Source organism: Homo sapiens, chromosome 10, assembly GCF_000001405.40.
Source record: "Homo sapiens chromosome 10, GRCh38.p14 Primary Assembly".
NCBI lineage: Eukaryota > Metazoa > Chordata > Mammalia > Primates > Hominidae > Homo > Homo sapiens.
In genome coordinates this window covers 78,174,438-78,197,990 of record NC_000010.11, presented here as the reverse complement: position 1 = coordinate 78,197,990, position 23,553 = coordinate 78,174,438, and the positions used below count along the sequence as shown (strand labels likewise).

The 23,553-nt window shown below is 50.6% G+C and overlaps 1 long non-coding RNA gene across 1 annotated transcript, besides 2 other annotated features; it reads right to left on the bottom strand.

Moving 5' to 3' along the window:
- Positions 1-4,916: 4,916 nt before the first annotated feature.
- LOC105378375 (uncharacterized) lies at positions 4,917-18,806 on the bottom strand. Its single transcript, XR_946096.3, has 4 exons — positions 18,745-18,806; positions 6,759-6,842; positions 6,059-6,120; positions 4,917-5,264 (listed from the first exon to the last, which is right to left on the bottom strand). It is a non-coding gene; the product is annotated as an uncharacterized LOC105378375 (long non-coding RNA).
- Positions 17,653-22,178: an enhancer, noted in NCBI's record as "VISTA enhancer hs2223". NCBI's record gives its function as "enhancer in: hindbrain (rhombencephalon)[4/6] | midbrain (mesencephalon)[3/6] | forebrain[5/6]" and the evidence as "EXISTENCE:transgenic organism evidence [ECO:0001131][PMID:17130149]".
- Positions 20,678-21,542: an enhancer, noted in NCBI's record as "H3K4me1 hESC enhancer chr10:79936206-79937070 (GRCh37/hg19 assembly coordinates)". NCBI's record gives its function as "activates a minimal SCP1, AML or CMV promoter by ChIP-STARR-seq in naive H9 embryonic stem cells {active_cell/tissue: H9 hESC(naive)}" and the evidence as "EXISTENCE:reporter gene assay evidence [ECO:0000049][PMID:30033119]".

Genomic DNA, 23,553 nt, shown 5'->3' with positions numbered 1-23,553 from the left:
AGGTGCACCAAGCAGGACTCAGTTCAAATGGCACCTGCTGGGAGAGGCCTTTCCTGACCCTCTTTCCACCAGTCCCCAGACCAATCACTCTTCCCCTCTTTTGTTATCTTCATTGCAATTGTCACTGTCCCAGGTCATCTGGCACCTCTGGTTTCATTTTCATTTTGGTTTTGGTTGCTTTCTGATTTATTCTCTGTCCTCCCCAGCTAAAAAAGTAAGCTTTCTGAGGATAGGGACCTTGACTATCTCATTCTCTACTCTCTCCCCGTGGCCTAGGATGCTGCCCCATCACCTCTGCCATCTGTTGGATGAGCAATGAGTGTTTGTCTTCCACAAATTCTATAAACTCCATGACAGGATTAGTGTGATTAGTGTGTCTGTGTCCCTGGAGCCTTGCTCAGTTTCCAGGACAGAGCAAGCTCTTAATAAATTCACTGCCTGTAGCTCTCTCTGTGTTACAGGTGAGAAAGCACCCTTTGGAGAACTTCTAAGATCATCCAGGTTTTCATCTAAAGGCAGCACTGTCAGCTTCTCTCTCTCTCTTTCTCTCTCTCTCTCTCACAAATACACACACACACTCTCTTTCTCATACACACAGTCTCTCTCTGTCTCTCTCTCACACACACACAGTCTCTCTCTGTCTCACACACACACACTTCTCTCTCACACACACATACACACACTGTCTCTCAAAAACACACACACAAACACACACACATTCTCTCTCACACAAACACACATGCACACACAGTCTCTCACACACACACATACACAAACTGTCACTCACACACACACACATACACACATACACACACACATACTCTGTCTCTCTCTGTCTCTCTCTCTCTCCTTGGAAGTCCCCTACATTTATTCACATGTTCATTTTGCAACATTTACTGTGCGCTTGCTGTGACTCAGGCTCTACTCTGACCCTGGAGGTGCGATGCTGAGCAAGCCAGTGCAGCCCTACCCTTGCAGAGCTGACATCCTGGTGGAGACACCCCTTTTTGTCTGTACCTATCCTAAACCATCTCTGGCAGAGCAGCAAAACACATCCCTTTTCTAAGTCTTAGTTTCCTTACTGTCTGATGGGGGCAAAATCTAACCTATCAGGCTGGAAGCCCCAGGGCCAAATATGAGATCTGAGAAATTATTTTGGAAAGGAGAGGCCCCATAGTGTCTCTAGCCTGTCCCTTTTCCTAGTCCCCCTCTGCTCTCTGACTACACCCTCTCCTGTCTCTGCCCATGTCCTAGTGTCCCCATTAGATGAACAGACCTGAACTCAAACCCACCTCTGTGTGCGAACATAAAAAAAATCACCTAGCCTTGCAAAGCCTGCACTTCCTCGTCTGCAAGATGGAGATAATATTGTCTACACACCGGTGTGGGAAGGATAGAACGGGACATGCTTCATAAAGTTCCTGGCAGTCTCCAGGCACTCAGTCATGTTTCTGCTCCCCTGGAATACCCTCATTCCTCCAACTGCCTAATGCCTGCCCATCCCTCAAAGTCCAAGCCAAGTGCCTCTCTTGAGAAGCCCCCTGACCCCCTTCCTGGAGTCCCTCACATGCCCACCTTCTGTCCACACTGCCCAACCCTGTTAGCCACTCTCCGTTTTCCTCCAGGGCACACGTTTGGAGCAATAATCAGACCAGTCCTCAGCATCCCCTACAGTGCCTGATGCTGCTGGACATCACTGATGTGCCCCGGCAGGGGCTCAGACAGAATTTTGATTCACATTTGCTCCCTGACCACCTACTCCCACCAGGCACTGTGCCAGGTTCTGGGGGCACAGCAATGATGTGGTTTCCAAGCCAAAGGCACTCACATCTAGGAAAGACACAGACACACTAGCAAACCCCTCCCGTGCAGTGTTGCACAGGAGAAATTGGGAGGCCTTCCTAGAAGAGCAGAGCTTTCAAGGAGACTTTCTTGGCTGAGTGAAAACATTCACTGTATCAATGTGTTCCTGGAAAGGTTCACAGGGATTAGCGTTTCCACTGGCATCTACCGTCAGTCCACGAGTCCTTAATCCTGACTTCTTAATTGGTGACGGCTAGGTTCTGGTTGTCTGGTCCCTGGTTCTTGATCATGTAATTTAAGATTTGTAAACACACAAATGGGATGGAGTCAGAGACTGTTTACTTCTGGGACCCTTCGTGCCAGTAGGAGGGTTGCTGACCTGAGTCACCCCTTCCTTACTAGGTTTGTTTGAAAAACTAGAATTGTATTGCTTATATATTTTCCAAAACACTCAAAAGGCAGAATGTTTGTCTTGAAAGCTCTTTCTTATCCAGTAAGAAAATATTTTATCCACACATCAATGTCATTTTCCCCATTTGTTGGAGAGGAAGCTGAGACAGAGGGAGGACTGACGGGCCCAGGTTTCCCCAGTGGATCAGTGCTGGGCCAGGACTAGAACCAGGCGCCTGTTGTGCAGCCCAGGACTCTACCTGCATCCTCTGCCCTCACACCAGGGCCCCTGGGAGAGGAGGCATTGCTGTGGGTTTGTCTTAATCAACTCTTTCCTGCCTCCCTGAGAGGAAGGCCTTCTCCCTTCCCAGCCAGTGGGGAAGAGCAGCCCTTCCACCTTCTGAAGGCCAGGGAGGGAGGCGAGGTGGCGCTGAGGGATGAAAGCAGAGCTCCCAGGGAGGTCTGTGAACTGATGGAGGGTTGGTGCCACTGTGCTTGGGAGGCAGTCATTTAGCTTAATAACTGTGAATTGGGGGCTGCAGCCATGACACAGCCATCCCCGGCCCCCCACAGGGAGACTGCTGAGCTGAGCTCTTAGCAGGGCCACCCCTCCCAGGGTGCCCTTTGTGGGAAGAACAGCAATTGCCTGCTTTTGATGTCTGTTCTTATCTAGTCACTGGAGCCGCAGCCCTAACAGTCATCTCCTGGCGCCTGTCCCAAATGCAGGAGCCATTCCTACCACCCCTGCTGGTCCCTGCAGGCCCCAGGGTCTGTGTCGTCAGGATGTGCCACAGTGCTGGCCAAACTGGGTGCAGCTCCAGTGGTGCAGGCTCACATGCAATCTGCCCACCAGCAGAAGAATGACAGCAGCCAGGTGGTGAAACCAGGGCCCTGAGCATAAAACCCAACCTCCTGGGCTGGCACTCGAGATTTTGCCATTCTCCAACCCCAGCCTGGCTTCCAGCAGTCCTGGCTATGCTGTTCTCCTTGTCTAGAATGCCGCAGCCCTTACCCACTGCCATATCCAAGCCCTCTATCAAATCCCAGTCCTAGAGTCTGCCACCAGGAAGCCTTCCATGATTGCTCCAGGCCGCCAAGCTGTCCCTCTCCTGTGAATGGCAATAAAACTTTCTATCTGTCCCACTTACTTCAGACTTATGACATACATGTCTTATTCTCATTTCGTTAGTTATCTTTCATGTAGGCTCACTGAATGCTGACCTGGGCTGTAAGCTCCAGGGCAGCAGGGACTCTGTTTGATTCTCCTCTGAGACCCCAGGGCATTGCATATGTCTTATCACAAAGTGGTACTCCACATATATTTGCTGTTTGCCTCAATTGGGCAGATAGGCCCTGCCAATTTAAACTCAAAGGAGAAAGATTGTATAAATTCGTCCACAACTGAATTCTAGGATGTCTACAAAGAAATGCAGGTTATTTCTTTTGTGCACATGAACAGAGACTTACCTCATGCCTCTTTCTAGAATCCCCTACCCATTTTTCCACCTGGAGAACTCCTGATCTACCCTCAGTGCCCAGCTTGAACATGAGTCTCTCTGGGAAGCCTTCTTTGAATCCTCCAGGCTGACTCATCACGTCCTTTTTACGACCTACAGAAAAACCTGCATTTGAATTCTGTTATGGGCTGAATTGTGTTCACCCCAAAAGACGTGCAAATCCTAGCCCTGGTACCTGTGAATATGACCTTATTTGGAAATAGGGTTCTTGCACATGATCAAGTTAAGATGAGGCTGTTAGGGTGGCTTTAATCTAGTGTGACTGGTGTCCTCGGACTCAAAGACAGAAACACATAGAGGGGAGACAAGGTGAAGACAGAGAATGCCGTCTACAAGTCAAGGAGTGCCTAAGGCTACCAGAAGTCAGGGGAGAGGCATGGAACAGATTTTCTCTCAACCCTCAGGAGGAACTGAACCTTCTAACACTTAGATTTCTGACTTCTGGTTTTCAGAACAATGACACAATACATTCCTATTGTTTAAGCCTCCTAGTGTGTGGTACTTTTGTTATGGCAGCCTTAGCAAACTCATACAAATTCTGCATTTGCCTCTTACTAGCTGGTTGACCCTTGGCAAGCTACTTAAATCTCTGAGTCTCGGTCTCCTCTTTAAAACGGGCATGGCAAATCTCCTTCAAGCCCCCTTCTCTTTTCCCATCATCACACAACGAACCTACATTCCCAGCAACCCTTGCAGGTAGGTGTGGCCAGGTGGTTAAGTTCTGGCCCATAGACCATGGGGTAGAAGCCATGTACCCAGCCCAGCCCAGAAACTGTCCACACAGTCCTCCACACTCGCTCTCACTTCTTCATCTGCAGGCAGAGAACCATGTGGCCCTGGGAGGTGGCAGAGCTACAAGATAGAAAGAACCTGGGCCCCTGATTGACTGCAAGGAGGCTCCCCCTGTGGAGTACTATATTGAACTAGTTCATAAAATGCTGAGGTTTATGCAAAAGCTGTTAATATACTCTAATATAAATATTAGTCATGTAATAGTCTCATGAGCATCAGAAATGTTATGGTAGGCAGTTAATACCATGTTTTTAATATTTTTATATTTGAACTGCCCCACCACCTAACACAAACCAGCACAAAATAGGGTATGAAAAATGCTCACTGAATTTTTGTCAGTTAAAGAGCACTGCCATGGATGCAACTGGCTGGGGCTGGTGTGGCAGGCACTAAAGGAATTCACCAAGACAGTCATAGGTAAAGAAAGGCAAATTTATTAGAGAAAGGGTTGCAAGGGTGCAAAGGGCAGCACAGCAGAGAAGGGGCTGCCTGCAAAGGGGCTGGAGGGAAGTTTTATAAGGTTGTGCTGGAAAGGTTACATGTGGAACAGGGTTTTGGGAACAGGATGTTGTGCTAGCAGGTTGTTTTTGATGAGCTGTCTCCCAGAGCAATTGTTCTCCCCCACCTAGAATTCCTTCCTCCTTGTTGCTTTCTTATCTTGTCAGGATTTCACAAGCACTAGCATCAGAAGTTCTTGGTTGGTTCCAGCTCTGCCCCAATCTTAGGCCAAAGGTTTAACTCTTCCAGTCCTCAATTACTTTGCTTATAAAATGAAAGGGTTAAATAAGACCAAAAATCACATCCATGCTACAGCTCACTAATCAATGAAGGCTTGCTTTCCCCCCAGCCAGCCAAGACTGCCTCAGAATCCCTCTTAACACAAAGCCCTAGAGAGCCCCTCCCAGCCTGAGTTGGCCCTCTAGACAATACACATTAGCCATCTCTGAACACCGTAACCCAATTCTGGAACTAATCTGCCTCAATATCTACTCTGGAGGCAAGAACCTCAGTCTTCAAACTCAAGCTTACAGGAAGAATCCCATTTAGCCTTTTCCATAAATCATTGTAGCTTTGAATTCTGGAGCCCTCCTTCTGCAATGCTGCCTGGAAATGTAACCCTAGTGCATCACGGCCAGGTGCTCTTCCCCCCAGGCAAAAATTATGTGAAGGTCACGGAGTCTTACACAAAATGTAGGCTTTGGGAAGACCTCGGGTCCTCGAACCCCTCTGCTTACTTCAGAAACAATCACTGTTCCCAGCCTTAGTCTTTTTAGGTGCCCTGCACTCTACTTTTGTCCCACACTGGGGCTGGAAACCTTCAGGGTTACTGGAAATCACCGAGCCATTCCTCCTGGTTTGCTGCAGGGAAAGCTGGGGTCCCACTACTTACGAAACCTGCACCCATTGGAGACATCTCCAGGGGCCAGGAAGCACCTTTTCTCCCTATTCCTGTTTCCCTTGGAGCTCTCCCTCTCCCCTTCCTCCTTCTCCCACTTCCAGCATCATCCCCTCAGGGGTGGCTTTAGAAAGGAAAGCCAGGGAAAAAATTGACTTACGACAACTCCTCTTTCCTCTTGGCCACCAGCTACCCCTAGGTGAGAAAACTGGGAGCTGCTGCCTGATTTAAAAAAAAATATATATATATATATATACACACACACACACATATATATACATATATATATACACACACACACATATATATATGTATATGTATATCTGGGATTCAAAAAACATGCAGCCTCAAGCTGAGAAGATTTCTCTTTGGTAAAGGCGTTAAGTATTGTCAGGGCAAATGGGAACAGGCACATAGTTGCCCTTGGAGGTCGTCGCCTTTCTAATCAGTTTTACTTTTTTTCTATATTGATTGGGCAGAGTCTGTACTGAGCTTTGATGTCCCCCAAAATGCCAGTGAGAGTTAGAGCCAGGCATAGTTTGCCATGACGCTTTGTGCTAAGAGCCCTGGAGTCACATCACATGCAGGTGACCCAGTCATGTGGGAGATGTGTCACAGTCATTTCATATAAATGCTGATTATTGTAAATGACTTATTACTTTTACAACTGCCACTCCCATTCTGATATGCCCCCTTTAATGGGAGCAAAAGGAGTAGGGGTATTTCACAGCCATTCCTGGGCAAATTCCACAGGACCCAGTGAGAGAGACACAGAGGTCTTAAAGTCAAATGTCTCTCCGGCCCAGGTAGACTCCAGATGTGTGCAGCAGGTGGGGAGCCCAGGACTGGAGCACACTCACCTGTCCAAAGGGCACAGCCGCCACTCAGCCCCCTCAGCTCCAGGGTGCTTGCCGTCATTGGGGCTGGAGAGACTTCTCATTTTTCTAGAGAAAGTGAAAATTCTGAACTATTAGTATGCAATCTCTGGCTCGTAAAGTGTTGAAGTTTAAAACTTTAAACACTGTGAGATGAAAAAAAATTCATTTCGAGGTGGAATTTGACCCATGGGTTACCTGGATGGCCTCCACCAGCACCTAGGAAGCACTTCATGCAGGTGGAACTTCGCTGGTGCTGGTGCAGGGGTTTGGCTAACAGTTGTGGTGCTATGCATATGTGCATGGGTGTGTGAGGGGTAGTGGGAGGCTTGGGTGAGTTCAAATGGCAGGGTAAGAACAGGTGAGAGTGAGGGGTAATGTTCTTAAAGATGCTGGGTAAATGTCACCTCCTCTTTGAAGCCTCCCTGCAGCCTCCGCTGTCCCCTACTCCATCCTCAGGCAGAAGTAGTCCCTGCTCTGCACTGCCCTGCCCCCAGTATTTTGCATTAAAATTAGCCATTGATGTGTCTAAATATTACACAGGATGCCGAGGTTGGTAGATGGCATCATCTCTTACTGCGGGTCAGTGAACATGCTGAGGATGGCAAGAATGAACGAATGCATGAACAACTTCTCAATGGAGCATCCGCTAAAGGCAAGAGCCCTGCTTGCCTCTCTGCACACCTGATTCTGACTCCTACAACACAGCTAGGTGGGCACGACTATGCACAGGTCTGGGAAGCAATGCATTCCCCTTAGCCAGGCAGCCTTGCCCAGCCTTGACATGGTGAGACAGGTGGGACCAGGCCCTGCAGAGGCAGAACCACTTCTGATGGCACTGTGCAGTGGAACTCCCTAGGGGGCTAGGCTGAGGGCACTCTCTTCTCCCTTGGTTCTATTCCACTTGACAAGCATGCATCAAGCCTGCTTCCTGTATGAGTCCTCAAAGGCCGAGGAGCAGACACACCCAAAGGCCCGGGCAGCAGCACTTCTTGCCTTCCTGACTGGCTGTGCTGGGGGAGCGATGAGGAACAGAACACAGCTCATTGTCAGGCAGAATAAGAGCACTGATGTCCTCTCACCTCGACCCAGCCCTGCCAGCTACTGCTTTGGTGTTACCCCTAGGCAAGTGACTGAAGAGCTCTAGGCCTCAGCATTCTCATCTGCAAATTGGAAGTGATTTAGAACTTATTTCAAAAGGCTGATGTGAAGATGAAATCATACAGTGCTTGGCCCAGGCCTGGCACATAGTGGGTGCTCAATAAAAGGCAGTTAGGAGTTTCATTGATCTCACTCTTCACACATTGTTTTGTTTAATGGAGAAAGGCTGTGAAGTATCACTATTGCCCCATTTTAGAGTTGTGTTAACTGAGGTCAAGAGAGAGAGCCTGCCCCAGTTGCCCAGCTAGTGGTGGAAGGACCGGCGCTTCACCTCCCTTCTCCTGACCAGGAGTTCCATCCTCTGATGCTTATGGTCCACTCTCTTCCCCTCCTCCTAATGCTCCATGATGCACTGTCTCGTGTGGCTGCTGCATGCTCCCTGGGGGTCAGTCTGTCTTGCTTCTTTGCCAATTCTGCATCTATTCCCATGGTCACACCTCCCCAACTCCCTCTCTCCATGTTGTAGTCCAAGGAGTAGGCTTATGGAGTGGAGGGTGCAGTTGTATTCCACAGAGATTCACCGATGGGCCATGTAGACCTGAAGATGCCCAGATTCCAGCCTCAGAGAACTATTTTTTGATTTTGCTGTACATGAGAATCACCTGGAGGGTTTTTAAAAACACTGATTGGTGGACCCCACCCCCATGGTTTCTGATTCAGTAGATCTGGGGTGCAGCTGGAGAATTTGCACCCCTGGTGATTCTGATGCCACAGGTCTAGGTTAGAGCCAGTGGAAGAAATGGGCCCAAGATCTTTGAGTAATCAGACAAAGATGCAAACTCAAGTCATATCCCAGCAAAGGAAACAAACAGGAGGCTGAGACAGAGAATACCAAGGAGAGCATTCACTGCTCATAGGCTGGTCAGGGAAGGTGACAAGGGTGGGCAAAGCATTTCTGGCCGAGGGACCAGCACCTGCAAAAAGGCCTGAGGTAGGAAGAGTGTGGGCCCTTGGATGGAACAGTGGCCAGAATGTAGTAAGTGAGGAGAAGGGTGGGGAATCGGGGGTCAGAGGTAGTTGGGCCTTGGCTGTCTAGCTGGACAGCATTTCTGGCCTCCTGTGTACATGACTGAGGTCTGGAATGCCGGTGAGAGTGATGTCTGCTGCTTCCAATCTGGCACTTAAGAACGTCCTGGGTCCTTTTTCCCTCCCCACAGTGTGCACAAGAGAGATGAGGACAATGCCCTATGAGAAGATGGGAGAGAAATCAGAAAGAGGGCCCCTGGAAGACTGTGAGGGCCGGGACAGCCTGCAACCTGGACATTATTTTTCTAGCTACTGATTTGGCTGATTTTTGTCTCAGCAGCTGAGCTTACCATTGCTAATAAAGCCTGTTCACCTAGCCCTGGCCTTAAGTCCTATACGGGTCCTGGCTGGGGTCCTGGAATTCCAGCTGTTTCCTGTGTGGGACTGACTGCAGCCTCTGGAAATTCACATGGCCTCTCTAGGACTGGGATTTGCAAAGCGGTCTCCAGGATCGCTTAGAGCAGAGCCTCTCAAACCTTAGAGGGCAGGGCTCAGAACCACACAGAGATTTGTTCAAACAGATGGCTGCAAGAATCTATATTTCTTTTTTCTTTCTTTTTTTTTTTTTTTTTGGAGACAGAGTCTCATTCTGTACCTCAGGCTGGAGTGCAGTGGTGTGATCTTGGCTACCGCAACCTCTGCCTCCTGGGTTCAAGCAATTCTCCTGCCTCAGCCTCCTGAGTAGCTAGGATTACAGATATGCACCTCCACACCTGGCTAATTTTTGTATTTTCAGTAGAGATGGGGTTTCACCATGTTGGCCAGGCTGGTCTTGAACTCCTGACCTCAAGTGATCTGCCTGCCTCGGCCTCCCAAAGTGCTGGGCATGAGCCACCACATCTGGCCCAAGAATCTATATTTCTTACAAGCTCCCAGATGATTCTGATGTTGCTGGTCTAGAATGCCTTAAGAGCCACCATAGGCCAGATATGGTGGTTCATGCCTATAATCCCAATGCTTTGGGAGGCCAAGGCAGGAGGATTGCTTGAGGCCAGGAGTTTGGGACCAGCCTGGGCAACATAGTGAGTCCTTGCCTCTACAAAAAGCAAAAATGAATAAATAAATTAGCCAGGCATGGTGGCGTGCACTTGTAGTTCTAGCTACTCCAGAGGCTGAGGCAGGGGGATCGCTTGAGAACAGAAGTTCAAGCCTGCGGTGAGTTATGATCATGCCACTGCACTCCAGCCTGGGCAACACAGCAAGACCCTGTCTCAAAAAAGAAAAAGCCACTGTCTTATGTCATCTAGCCATAATGTCACTTAAACTCAGGGGGTAAACACCATATGTGTAGGCATGCCCTGCCTTGAAGGAGTCAGAAAAATTCACCAGATCTGAGATGTAAAAGGCTTAGATGAGGAAGGGGTGTGTCCCCCTCAGTCCCCTGCAGGAGAAAGACCACCATTAGGAAAGTTGGAAGTCCTGAATTCCACTTCTAACTTGACATATACTCAAAGTCCCTGAGCCTCAGTTTATGCATCTGTAGAATGGACGGATATGACACCTACTCTCTGTTCCTCACAGGATTATTATATGAGCCATACGGAAGTATCAGGAGGGCTGGGTGCCTCCACCAGTCCTGGAAGGAGAAGAAAAGCATAGTCCTTCTGAAAGCTCCAACATCCCTCTTGGACCTCAGTGGGGGCCTGTGTGCTGAGGATGGGGGAGCAAGAAGTCAGAAGGAGCCTGGGTCCCTGACACATGAACCGTCATTCCAGCCCTGGGCTCCACACCAACAGACTTCTTTACAGGAGGAAGAAATTAACTTTGATCTGGGGATGTTTGTTTCATGCATCTGAATCATATCCCTCCAGCTCTAGGCACTTCTCCAGGCTTCTACCCCCTCCATTTCATCTGAGAGCAGTTTGCCTTAGCTTTTCATTTAGTAAAGGTGAAAGATCATTGTGATTTTGATGGTTGTCTCAATGACTGGTATTGGACATGGCAGAAAACCCAGGTGGCTAATACGCTGAGAGCTGCTCACACCCACTGGGAAACTTTTAGTATGCTGGGAGAGGCTCCCTTCAAAGGGGGCTGGGAAGATGTAAGAGGGAGATGGTCAGCCTGCAAGGCTGAACGGTGAGCAAGGTCACCTCCCCCACTTCATCCAAGGCAGGGCTTCTCAATCCCACCACTACTGACATTTGGGGCTGGATGGTTCTCTGTGGTAGGGGCAGTCCTATGTACTTTAGAGGGTTTAGCAACATCCCCCAGGCCTCTACCAGCCAGATGCCGGTAGTACTTCCCCAGTTGTAACAATCAACAATGTCTCCAGACATTGCCATGTGTCCCCTAGGTGACAAAATCACCCCCTGTAGAGAATCACCACTCTAAAGTAGCAGTTCTCCCTGTAGCTTCACAATGAAATCACTAGGGAGCTTTAAAAATATTTACTGAGACCTGGGTCCCACATTTGAGATACTGACTTGATTGGTCAAGGGTGTGGCTGGGTATCGGGATTTTTTGAAGTGCACCAGGAAACTCTAGTGGGCAGCCAAGGCAAGAAGCGCTGCTCTTATTCTTCCTTGGTAGCCAGTTGTTGTGGTAGTGGAGAGAAGGCAAGCACTGGGAGGACTGTGATGTGCCGAGCCTAGAGATTCAATAGGCCCATGAGAGCCAGGGACAGGCTATCATCTATCCCCAGGATGTCAGCCTGCATTAGAACACAAAATAGTCTCCAATTCTGTGCGCCTGACCAGGCTCTGCCTTCTTCAAGTTCACCCAGGTCCCAGGGTTAATCCAACAGGACAAGGGTTCTAGTGAAAGTAACAAACCAACTTGGCCCTTCTTAGCCCATTTCCTCACCTTTGAAACAGGGAGCTGTTTTCAGGTGGTACCTCCAGGCCTTTCTCTGAGGCTCCCTGTCAGTGAAGGCACTTTGACAAGTGATTTTGACAAGTCATTGAAAATGAGTCCAAAGAGGCCCATTCTTCACCTGCCAGAAGCCCTCCCCAGTTGGTCTCTATAAGTCTTGAGCCAGACATGGCAGGCTCCATCTAGGCATGGCAATCTATATAGGGTTGGTATGGAAGACATCATGCCCAGCTGGAGCTGGCCAGGAGCCAGAGTACAACCATCATTTCCCCAGTTCATGGACTAGTGGGTCCAGGACCCACCCACAGGCTCCTGGAGGACTTAATGTGGCCTAGAAGTAAACAGGAAAAGGGCTGGACTCACTGGGTCAAGCACTAGGCAGGGTGCCCTGCCCTGTTGCCATGGAATCACAGTGTCCCCAGCCCAGACAGTTGACCTGGTCCAAGCCTTTGTAAATGCAGGAGCACGGACCAGTGCTGAGCCACTTGCATCCACACCACTACGGAGCTTGCTGAAGACAGTCCCAGGCCTCACCTCCAGAGATTCTGATTCTAAGCCTGGAGTAATGCCAGGGAATCTGATTTTTCAAACCCCCCAGGTGGTTCTGACACAAGGTCTAGGAAGAACCAAATCCTAATGCATCCTTCCCAGAGAGGAAATTCCCTGGCCTCATCATACCCAAAATGTCAGCAGCCTGTGCTTAGTCACTTTTTGGCCCGCCCAGATCTCTGTACCATACAGCATCTTATCTTCCCCGCTCATAAAAGCACTCACCATCAGGAAGCACTATAACATCTTTCTTGGCTCAGAGAGGGTAAGTGACTGGCTCTGGGGTTGCCCAGCAAAGTGGATGCAGAATGGGAACCAGAAGCTGGTCCTCTGCCTGCCTGGGCAGTGCCACTGCAATACAACCAGCACGGTTGGCACCTACTCTGTGCCAAGGCCCGCAGCAGCCTGGGAAGTGCGGGAGGCTGTTTGTGCAAACTGACAGCCTCTGATCCACGTAGGCGCCTGCCTCCAGCTCAGCCTCTAATAATAGCTCTTCCTCGGAATTCCTCCCATCTTGGTGGGAGCGGAATATTTAGACATATCAAAGATTCTCTCCCCTTCTTTCATCGGGCCAACAGTGACATGAAAGGAGTACAATGAAAAGACAGGTCTCTATGACAAGCTTCAGAGAGCAGCCAATTCCCTGACATCCCTCAAGCCTCCAATTGACTCCACACTGTCTGACGGGAGTCAGCGCGGTTACATAATAATAACACCTTCCATTTCCGTGGCGCTATTATGGGGCTTTCACCAGAGTGCTTTCACACGCGCTCGCTTATTGAGCCCACAAAGCAGCCGGGTGGCAGGCAGGGCAGCCATGCTTTGCCCGGTTTTACAAATGAGAGCATTATGGTGCGCAGAGGTTAAGTGACTTGCCTAAGGTCACACAGCAAGTTAGTCACTGATCATGGAGTCCTCTGTCAGGTGGGAGTCTCTAAATCATCTTCTCAGAAAGATAAAGAAGGGTCCTCCCTCGTCGGTGGGCCCACCTGTGCCCCAGCCTCCTCTCTCCTCTCAAATCCTCTTCTAACCCTGCTCTCCAATCATATAGAATTCTTCTTGGTGTCCCCAAACCTATGCTTTTAACACCTCTGTGTCTTTGCACCTTGTCCCCCCCACCTCTGCTTCCCCTCCTTCCTCCTCCTCTCTTCATGACCAGATTCTCTTTATTCTGTTGCACCACCACCTCCTCCAGGTAGCCTCCCCTGATGCCCACCTGACTGAGCCAGGCGCTCCCTTCTCTGTGCACACTTCTGTCCTGTATGGTACTGTATTACAGTCAGCAACCTTAGCAAATCCCTCATCTAAGAACACCCTGTACTAGTGAGTTCAGGCTGCCATAACAAGATGCCACAAACTGGGTGCTATAAACAATAGACATTTCTTTACCCCCCTCTGGAGGCTAGAAGTCCAAGATCAAGGTGCCACTGGGGTTGGTTCTGAAGTGGGCTCTCTGCCTGACTTGTGAACAGCCACCTTCTTGCTGTGTCCTCACATGGCCTTTGCTCTGTGTGCTCACAGAATGAGAGTGAGCTTTCTACTGTCTCTTCCTGTCCTCATAAGGACACCACCAGTCTTATCGGGTTAGGGCTCCACCCTTACAACCTCATTTACTAATTTTTAAGTAAAGTCACATTAGGGGTTAGGGCTTCAACATACAGATTTGGGGAGTGGATACAATTCAGTCTATAACACCCCTCAAAGGCAACGACTGGGTCTGGCTCTTTTCCAAGGAGGTGGTGTCTAGTCAAGACCTGGCCCACAGTGGGGCTGAATAAAGGTCCGATGCAGAAATCCCTTTTTACTAGTCCTTGATGTCACCCAACATCTCTCTGACACCCCTGACAATGGGGGGAGCTCACCATTTCATTACTGATCACTGTATCATGACCCTATGGGAAAGCAGAAGGAAGAATAGGTATTAAAAGGAGCAAGATTAAATGAAAAAATAAATAATAATAATAATAATAAAAGAAGGAATAGGTAAGAAAATGTAGGGCTGAGCGCAGTGGCTCACACCTGTAATTCCAGCATTTTGGGAGGCCAAGGTGGGAGGATCACTTGAGCCCAGGAGTTCAAGGCTATAGTGAATTATAATTATGCCACTGCTCTCTAGCATGGACAACAGAGCAAGAACTCAACTCAAAACAGAAAAGAAAATGTAGTAGGAAGGAAATTGTATTATCACCTTATAACATCTGCCCACAAAGCCTAGTTCGTCCTGCTGAAGCCATTGGAAAAGTTGTCTCATTCTTGTTATTTGAAAACAACGTCATTCTTCCCTGAGTCTTGGTGTTTCAAGCTCATCACTCCTGGATCACCCAACAGCCCAGCAAGTGCCCACCCCTTATCTGCATCCCTGTTCAAGCGAACCCATCCCAGATCTGTGTGTGGAGCTTAACAGAACCACCCACAAGCACCGCTCTGCAGGCCCTTCTTTCTCACTGCCTGGGACAAAAGGCAGGCCCTCTTAGGCTCTTGAGGTTTATAGCAAGGCCAGGCCTTGGAGATGATCTGTTCCCTCACATAGTGCCTGCCTACCACAAGGAATCATCTCAGATGCAGGTTCCTCCAGGAGGTGCTCCTGATTTCCCCTCAGTGCCCCCAACACCCCAGCACTCCCTTCTTGTGTATAGCACAAATCCCACACCAGTGTGCATTTTGCCAGTCACCTCCCTACCACCGGGGTCCCTTAAGGACAGAGTCAGTGCTGTGTTTCTCTCTAGGCCTCCAGCACCCAGCCCAATTGGAGGGTCTTCATCTGAGACACAAGGAGCCACAGTCCCTGCCACAGGAGTCTGTCCCCTGAGCAAGGACACAGGCCTGGCAGAATGGCCAGGAGGCCTGGGTGGGACCAGCCCCTGGGAGCTCACACGGGTGGCCCCCTGGCCTTTCCTCTCACCCCTAAACACGCTGTCCATGGGTCTCACCACTTACCCACGGCTGAATTTTAACAACTACTCCAAGAGATAATGGTTAATTTCACAGAGCTGTGAGTGGAGGCTGTTAAAATGTTAATATTATTTAAATTGTTTTACATTTTCGACAGTTTGAGCTGCAAATATAAATGTTTTCTGTGCTTTCCATGGAGCTGAGCTCACAAAAATGATTGATGAGGCACCCAATATGGAATTTCCCACTTTAAATTAAGAAACGCGACGTGAAGGCGATGAGAAAAATACTACCCTGCCATATGTGGTCCCCGTGGCCAAAACCTCAGCACAAGCCTCGGGCCAGGTCATTTGTCCCTCTGGTCCCTAGTGGCTGCGTGGCCCTGAGTTCCTCCGTTCACCTCCCTGGGCCTCCTGTCCTGTTCTGGAAACGGGGATCATACCTACCAGACCAAGGCACCCCAAAGTTTCCACAGTGGGCTTCAGTTAGCGGGCACTTACCGTGGCTGGCACTGGGTACTGGGTGTTTCCTCTGTACCACGTCCCCTGCCCTCCTGGCAACCATCTAGATATGTGCTACTTCATACCCATTTTACACAATGTGCCCATGGCCAGACATCCAGGAATTGGGGGTGCCTGACTGTCATTAAAGCCAGTACCTCCCGCACCTTAGTAGGTAACTAATAAATGGTGGTTCTTCCCCACATCCCACCTCTCTCACCCGCACCCACATTCCAAACCCTCTCTGGGCCTCTGCTTCCCCACGCAGGTAATCTCAGTGTGGCCCAGTTCTAACTTTGGCTCCATTCGAAGGAAGGATGAGCTAGTGGTGAAAGCCCGGGCTCCACATGCTGAGGCTAGCCCAGAGAGGCGTGGGGAATGTCTTGCCTCTGCCCCCACTTGTGTGCCTGGACTATAGCCCCAAGACTCACGGTCCTCCTGATTGCCATTGGCTCCATTCAAAGGAAGGATGAGCTAATGGTGAGAGCCCAGCCTTGGCATGCTGAGGCCAGCCCAGAGGAGCATGGGGAGTGTCTTGCCCCTGCCTCCTCTTGTGTGCCTAGACTATAGCCTCAGGACTCACAGTCCTCCTGATTGCAGAGCCAGGTCAGCCCCACATGCTGTCTCAGAGAAGCTTGCAGCCTGACCCTGGCCTCAAGCCCCAGAGGGAGCCCCACCTTATCCTCCTCTGTGCCTAGCACAGGGCTGGGCACTGCCCAGGTATTATCTCCAGGGCCTCTCAGGACAAATTCTCAGTAAAGGAGTTGTCATTATACCCATGTTGCATGCAAGCAAACTGAGGCAGGCAGAGGCCACACAGCTTGTAAGCACTGGGGTCAGTTAAACTCCAAACACCACATCACCTCCCCACTGCTAGGTTGCCACCTGCGTCTGAGTCCCCGACCCTTGTTGCACCTTGGGGGATTCCAGTCTTAGCCGTATCAGGCATCATTCATTCATTCATCATGCAGCCATCCATTCCTGGAGGGCCTGCTGTGGAGCAGCCCCCATGTTACTCTAGGGGAGCAGTGGGGAAGGGGGCACATTCGCTGCCCTCCTGGAACTGATGATCAATAGAGGGTGACAGACAAGCAGGGAAGCAAATGGGACAGTGCGGTTTGTGCTGGTTGGGATGAAGCACATAAAGGTTATCAGGGAGGACTCCCTGGAAGAAAGGTGCTCTGCATTGGAGTTTGAACGATAAGCAGAAATTCACCAGCCAAGGAGCAGCGGATGGCTCTCCTGCAGCGAGCACAGCACAGCCGAGACCCCAGCATGAGCATGGGGGCAGCCAGCAAGGGACGGGCAGGAGGGTCCTGGGGAGGTCAGGCTGAGTGCACAATGTGGGCTCCATCCCATGTGAGGCAGTCAGGTTGAGTTTTAAGTGGAAGAACCAGAGGGCAGACATGGGTTCTAGAACAATCCCTCTGGCTACAGTGGGGAGAAGAAATTGGCAAGGTGAGGCCAGAGACCAGCAGGAGGCTGGGGCAGTCCCCCACGAGAGGGGCCATGATATGGAAGGAAAGGGGGTGAGATTGTGAATTCAGGAACATCTAGCTGGGAGAACCAAAGAGACTGGCCTCTGATTGAATGGGGTCCCCAGGGAGAAGGGGGAGCCCGGAAAACTTGGTCAGGCTGCAGTAACCGGGTGGAGGGAAGGACAGAGTGCCTTGGACTACCCATGGACCGCTGTCCTGCAACTCACCCTGTGCTGGGGTCCCCCAACCTGCTCTGGCCGGGGCTGACCTCCACGGGTCACTAATCACTAAATGCACTGTGCTGCTCTGGCCCCATCCCACTGTGCAGTACCTGATCTGCTCCACCCCATCGAGGAATGCAGAAGGGCGGAGGGGGCTCTCAACTCATATCCCTGGGCTCAGTGCGGCCCTAGCTCCTTCAGAGTGACTATGGCCCTCTTTGATGTCAGGTTCCACATCTACTGAACGATAACAGCCACACCTATCAGCGATCATGGGGTTCAATGAGATAAAATCTGTAATGTGCTGAGGTCTGCCTGGGCACACTGACATTCAATACATGGTGCTCTTACTAGCATCACAGCCATGGCTGGGTGTTGCCCCTCTCCTCTCTCTTCCCTGGAGCCAGGGAATGCAGGCTGAGGCCGAACCCCCTCTGTGAGCAGGGCAGGGAGGCAGGCGGAGGGGGATGGCCTGATGGATGGTTTTCGGCAGTTCTGTGATGCATCAAATGTTTAATGGAAGTCAGCCGAGTGAGCCAGCCCTTCCTGCACCACGGGGCACGGGTTTGGGGGCATTCGTCTCCCGCTTCACTGATGTTTGCTGATGTTCCCTGACGTTCCGGGAGCGCAGAAGGCACTTACGTGCTTTACTAAGGAGGGAGGGAATACCAAATGAAGCTGAGACCTCCTTTCCTGGTCTCAGCAAGGACGCACACGCTCCTTCAGGAAAGGAGAAGGAAACTGGGCCAACCTTCCCCAAAGATAAGAGGTCAGAAAGGAGCTCAATGCTGGTGGCCTGTGGGCTCTACCTCTTCCTGGCAGTGTGACCTCGGGCAAGGTTCAAGACTACTCCAGGCCTCAGCTTCTTCGTCTCTAAAATGGGGATAGCAATGCTCCCTACTTGACAGGCTTGTCTTAGGACTAACTGTGGAAACCCATTCCAAGACTTAGAACAGTGCCTGGTGCACAGTAGGTGCTCATCAGAGCTAGCTGTCATAACGGGAGAAAGAGACAGGAGGCACAGGGTGGGGTCCTGCCCTGCTGCTGATCCACGGTGTGGCTGAGTGAGCACCCTGCCCTTGCCCCTGAGGGTCTTGGTCTCTAGGATGCTTCCAGGGCTGCATAGCTCTGCTCTTCAGTTCTGCTCCGCTCTAGCCAGATTCATCCTCTGACCAGCAAGGACGTCAGATGGGTGCAAAGCAACCAAGAAAGGAGTGGCAGGGTTCCGCCACCTCCCATCCTTCTCCCCTCCTTCTCCCCAGCATAGCGCCTCACCTCCCCTCCCCTCCCTGCAGACTGGCTTCCCCAGCCCTCCCTCTCTGCTCGTTCTTACCTCCAAGCCTCTCCTCTCTGCTCTCCTTCATTCCTCCGCTCTCCAAATCCTTCCCACTGCTCAAGCCCAGTTCAAGCCACACCTCCTCCAGGCAGCCTTCCAGCTCAAACGGACACTCCCCTTCCCAGCCTCTCACAGGATATCACCTCTCACAGGCGGTCATCAGCACCATAGATTTTGAAGGGAGCAAGATAGAGTGGGGCAGAATTGGGCAGAACAGGACAGGGCAAGGAGGGGCGGGGCTACTGACCAGAAATGACATGCCAGAACCTGAGCAGTGGGCCATGTTCCCCGAAGTTGTGAGTGAGACGGAGTGTGCCATCATCACAGTAGAATCGTATCCATCCTGTATGGGGCACAGTCCACCTGTCAGGCACGGTCCACATTCAGCTCACCTGGTCCTTACAACCCATTTTGCAAGTGATAAACACTGAGGCCTCAGGTGAGTGAGCTGCACATAGATTAAAAGCTAGCACGTGGCAAACGAGCTTTCTCAGGATTCCCACAGTGGTCAGCACAGGCTCTCAAGCCTCCCTCTCCAGAATGCCTAGAAACATGGCTGGTGCCGGAGGCAGACCGTGAGCTCAGGCAGGGGAGGGTCAGTCAAGGCTATCGCCCCCACTTCTTGCTGGGCCGGTTTTCGTCAGGGGAATTTCACCCACTGGGTCTTAACAGCCACTTGGCCTCTGACAAAAAAATGCTGTGGCAATGACTTCAGTACTCAAAACAATGTTTCCAAAAGAGAGATAGACAATGCTTTGTGCCCCTTCTTCCCCCTTCACAACTTTACAGGGCATTGCCTGCTATCGGATGGTTTTCTGAAAACCCACAGACCTCTCCCACCTCCTCCGCATAGAGCACCGACAGGTGCGGCATGGGTTCACCACTCAAGCAGTCGACAGCCTGGATTTCTAACGGCCAACTTCAATTCTCTCCCCTCCCTCTCTAGCACCTCTCTTTCCCCCAGTAAGTCATCCTAAGCTGGCTGTCCTGATAAACCGGGGGCTTGGGGACTTTCTTCAAGTGCCTTGTAAATGGAAGCATCTCAGACTAACAGCTCTGGGTGTTCAATGAGATTATATTTCTTATTTAAATAGCTGATTGGAGAATTGGTTTCAAAGTAAGATGCTGTACACCCATGGCCTCCTCTGGGCTCCTGGAGAGAAGCAATATTGTGTGGCATTGTGCAGCGGCAGGAGCCTCTCCTTCCAAGCTCCCCACTCCCATTCAGATGCCTCCAGGACGGGGGGAGCGGGCCGCGGTGGGGGATGAAAGCTGCCTCCCCTCCTGGTTTGGGGGAGCCGGAGATTATGCCTTTCATTCAAGAGTGCCTTCTCCAGGGCTCCCCACCATGCTCTGTACCAGTTGTCTTCCCCTCTCAAAGCGACGGGGAGATAAAAGGCAATGTGTTCGCTTCATCCCACCTCCGGGGAGAGCTCAAATCAGGCTTTTGTCAGCGGAGGATAAGCGACACCATTTTAGGAAGGGTTGTTGTTCAGGGAGCTCTGTTGGACGGTTTTGTGCAAGCTTTATCCACCCCCTCCCATGACTCGTGCCATGGTTCCCCTGGCCCCATGCTGGGCTGTGGGCGGGCTGATGCTTCCTCTCTGATCGGTGCCCACAGCCAGCCCTGAGAGGGGTGGCATCACCGTGGGGAGCCGGCAATCCCTAGCCCTTCAGGAAAAATGAGGTTTCACAGAACCAAATCCTGCTTGAATTGTGCTGTACGAATCCTGTGAGGGCCCGAGCTCTTAGCTTAGAGCAAATTTTGCAGTTAATTGTGTGTCAAAATAACGTATTAGAAACAGCAGCGTCTGGACCGTGTGCAATTCCTCTCCTTTCAAGCCTTTGTCTGCCCAGGGCTGGAGGGGCTTGTCAGGGCATCTTTGAGACAGGCTGGTGGCCCCCGTCAAAAGCAGCCCAAGGATTTCGGTGACTATCCCAGAGCCTTGGACAAGATAAAAGACCAGTGGTGGCCTTGAAGAATGCCCGGCTCTGTCCGCAGTGCTGGGCGGGGCCGGTGATCTTCATTACCAGTAGCTGCGGCACAGAGGCGGGCAGTTTGGTATGCCAGGCACATCCAGCGCCTCATGCATCCAGGGACCGCAATCAGGTAGCTGATGGGGATGCAAGTCACATCGCCTGGACCATTGCCGCAGTGAACTGATTCATGCTGCTACTTTGAGGCGGGGAGAAGGGACAGCGGGGCCCTGAGACAAACCAGCCCGGCTTTATTACACAGCTGCTGTTTTCAAGCCAGAATATTCCAGCCTCTCCTGCTCCTTCTCTTGCTGCTGGGCCTGCACTGGCTGCCTACCTGCAAAGAAAGTGCTCGTTCTGGCCCCTGGCTCTGGCTGAACAATGGCATTATGTGATGCATAAAGAGTACCCGGGCAACGGAGACAAGCATGGCTTAATTCGCTCAGTGCCCAGTGGCTTTTGAACGCCCCTGTATTCAGCCTTTATCCTGAGCAGCCTGGGCCTCCCCGGCCTTTATTCCCCAGCCCTCCCCATCACAGTCTTCCTCCAGTTTCCACACAGGTCTGCAATGGAGCTGATGGCCATGAAATGAGAGGCACAAAGGAAGGGAAGACAGGACGCTCTGTCTCTAACCAGGAAAGACTCCTGCTTGTGGGTAAGGACAACCAGGTTTTGGTCTCAGTTTTGCCATCAACTCACGGAGTGGCCTTGGGAAAGTCCCTTTCTGGCCCTTGGCTCCAGGTCTGTGTTTGCAGATAGGAGAGATAGGGACAAAGTTCCAGAAAGGCTTTTCCAACTCTGACATTCTATCATTCGGATACACACAGCTTAGCTCGATGGCATTGTTCTGGCCTCACATATGATGGTGAAGGGTCCTCCACTGTATCAGTGACATTCTCCTTGACTGTGACCTAAGACCAGGCCATGAGTCAGGACAATAAGTGAATGACACAAGCCAAGTGATTTCCGAGGCACGGTGGGGTCACCTGCCCTGCCTGGAGCAGCAGCCACTGCCTACAAGGCAAACTGTCCAGCTTACAGTTGCCTTGTAGGAATAAGAAGCCCAGTCTTGTGAGGTCTTCCCATTTTTTAAAAGAAACCAGAAATGTGAAATGTTATACAAAGTCTCACAATTGTAAAATGTTAGCTCAATTTTTATCAACACTGATAGGTCAAACAAAAATGACCAGAGGACCTTATCTGCTCAGCAGGCTACCAGATTGTGAAGTCAGGACCGGACAAGGTGTATCAGTCCATTCTCACATTGCTATAAGGAACTACCTGAGCCGGGATAATTTATAAAGAAAAGAGGTTTAATGCCTTGTAGCTCCATGGGCTGTACAGGAAGCATGGCTGGGGAGGCCTCAGGAAACGTACAGTCACAGTGGAAGGTGAAGGGGAAGCAGGCATGTGCTGCATGGCTGGATCAGGAGGAAGAGAGGAGGGGAATGTGCCACATGCTTTTAAAGAAACGGATCTTGGGAGAACTCTATCACAAGACAGCACTAGGGGGATGGTACTAAACCATTAGAAACCACCCACATGATCTAATCACCTCCCACCAGGCCTCATCTCCAACAATGGGGACTACAATTCAACATGAGATTTGAGCAAGGGCATAGATCCAAATTGTATCACAGGGCTACTATGTAGCTCAAGTCCAGGAGCTCTGCCATAACACCCTAGTATTATGCAATGTGGGACTCCCAGGACTGCACAAATTAGACTGGGTAAAGATACCCCTATTTGTTTTATTTTAAGGAAAAAGAAAAGAAACCAAAACTGGACCTAATACCTTTAGATCGCCTGCCATCTAATATCCGGGTTAACTCCAGACTGGGCCCCTTTCCAGAGGCAATGGAAATGCTCCAGCAGGATCTCACTTCCTCACTGCCCCATCACCCAACCCGGTGGGGACAGATGATGCCCCAGATTCCCAGCAGCCCCACCCCTGCATGGCTGAGGAAATGCTTCCACCACCTGAGCTTCTACCTGCCCATCCAGACTGGCTCTCTGCCCTTAGGCCCTCAGTCTCCGCATCCTGCCTTCCTGGTCTCCCAGTAGGAGACCTCTGCAGGTACTGTCACCTGGAGAACCCAGAATCTGGAAGGGACCACAGGGGGACTCCAAGCAGAGCTCTGCCCATGGAGCCCACACTGGCTGCCATGTCCCTTCAGCCCAGCTCACAGAAATACATCCTAAGGAAGAGATGCCACATCTACTATACACAGAGGTCTCTGAAGCCACACGTTCATATTGTTTCAACAAGCATTGAACAACTAATATTTGCTGGCACTGAGGAAAAATATTAGGTACAAGGAGCTCCTTGAAGGCAGGGAGAAAAGACAGACTCTCATACACAAGTTCAGTTAGATAACAAGCAGTGAGCAGGCAACTGGGACTAAATGCTACCATCTTCTGTATTGATAGAGGGATCACTGTATTATAGCACCACACTCGGATGTCAGAAACATCTTGGCCAGACACAGCATTAATACAGGAGGCATGAAGCTGACTCCCTACTCATCACTGCAATACAAAGTCAAAAAGCCTCTATAGCTCTCCCAGAACATGGATCAGATTGTTATGGGAGGTGAGAGAAGAACGATGTGATATTTAATCTGTTCTCTAAACATACACAAAGAGACAAGAGGTGAAAGGGCTTGGATGGTTCACTGAGGGAGTGGTCCCAAACTCCAGAGTAGTTCAGGCTGGGTGGAGCAGTGGGAACATAGAAGAAGAGAGTTGAAAATAAAGTGAGAAAGTTCAATTAGGACTTTCTCCAAATCACAATGGACCCCCGGGCAGACAGAAAAGTTCAAATTTTAT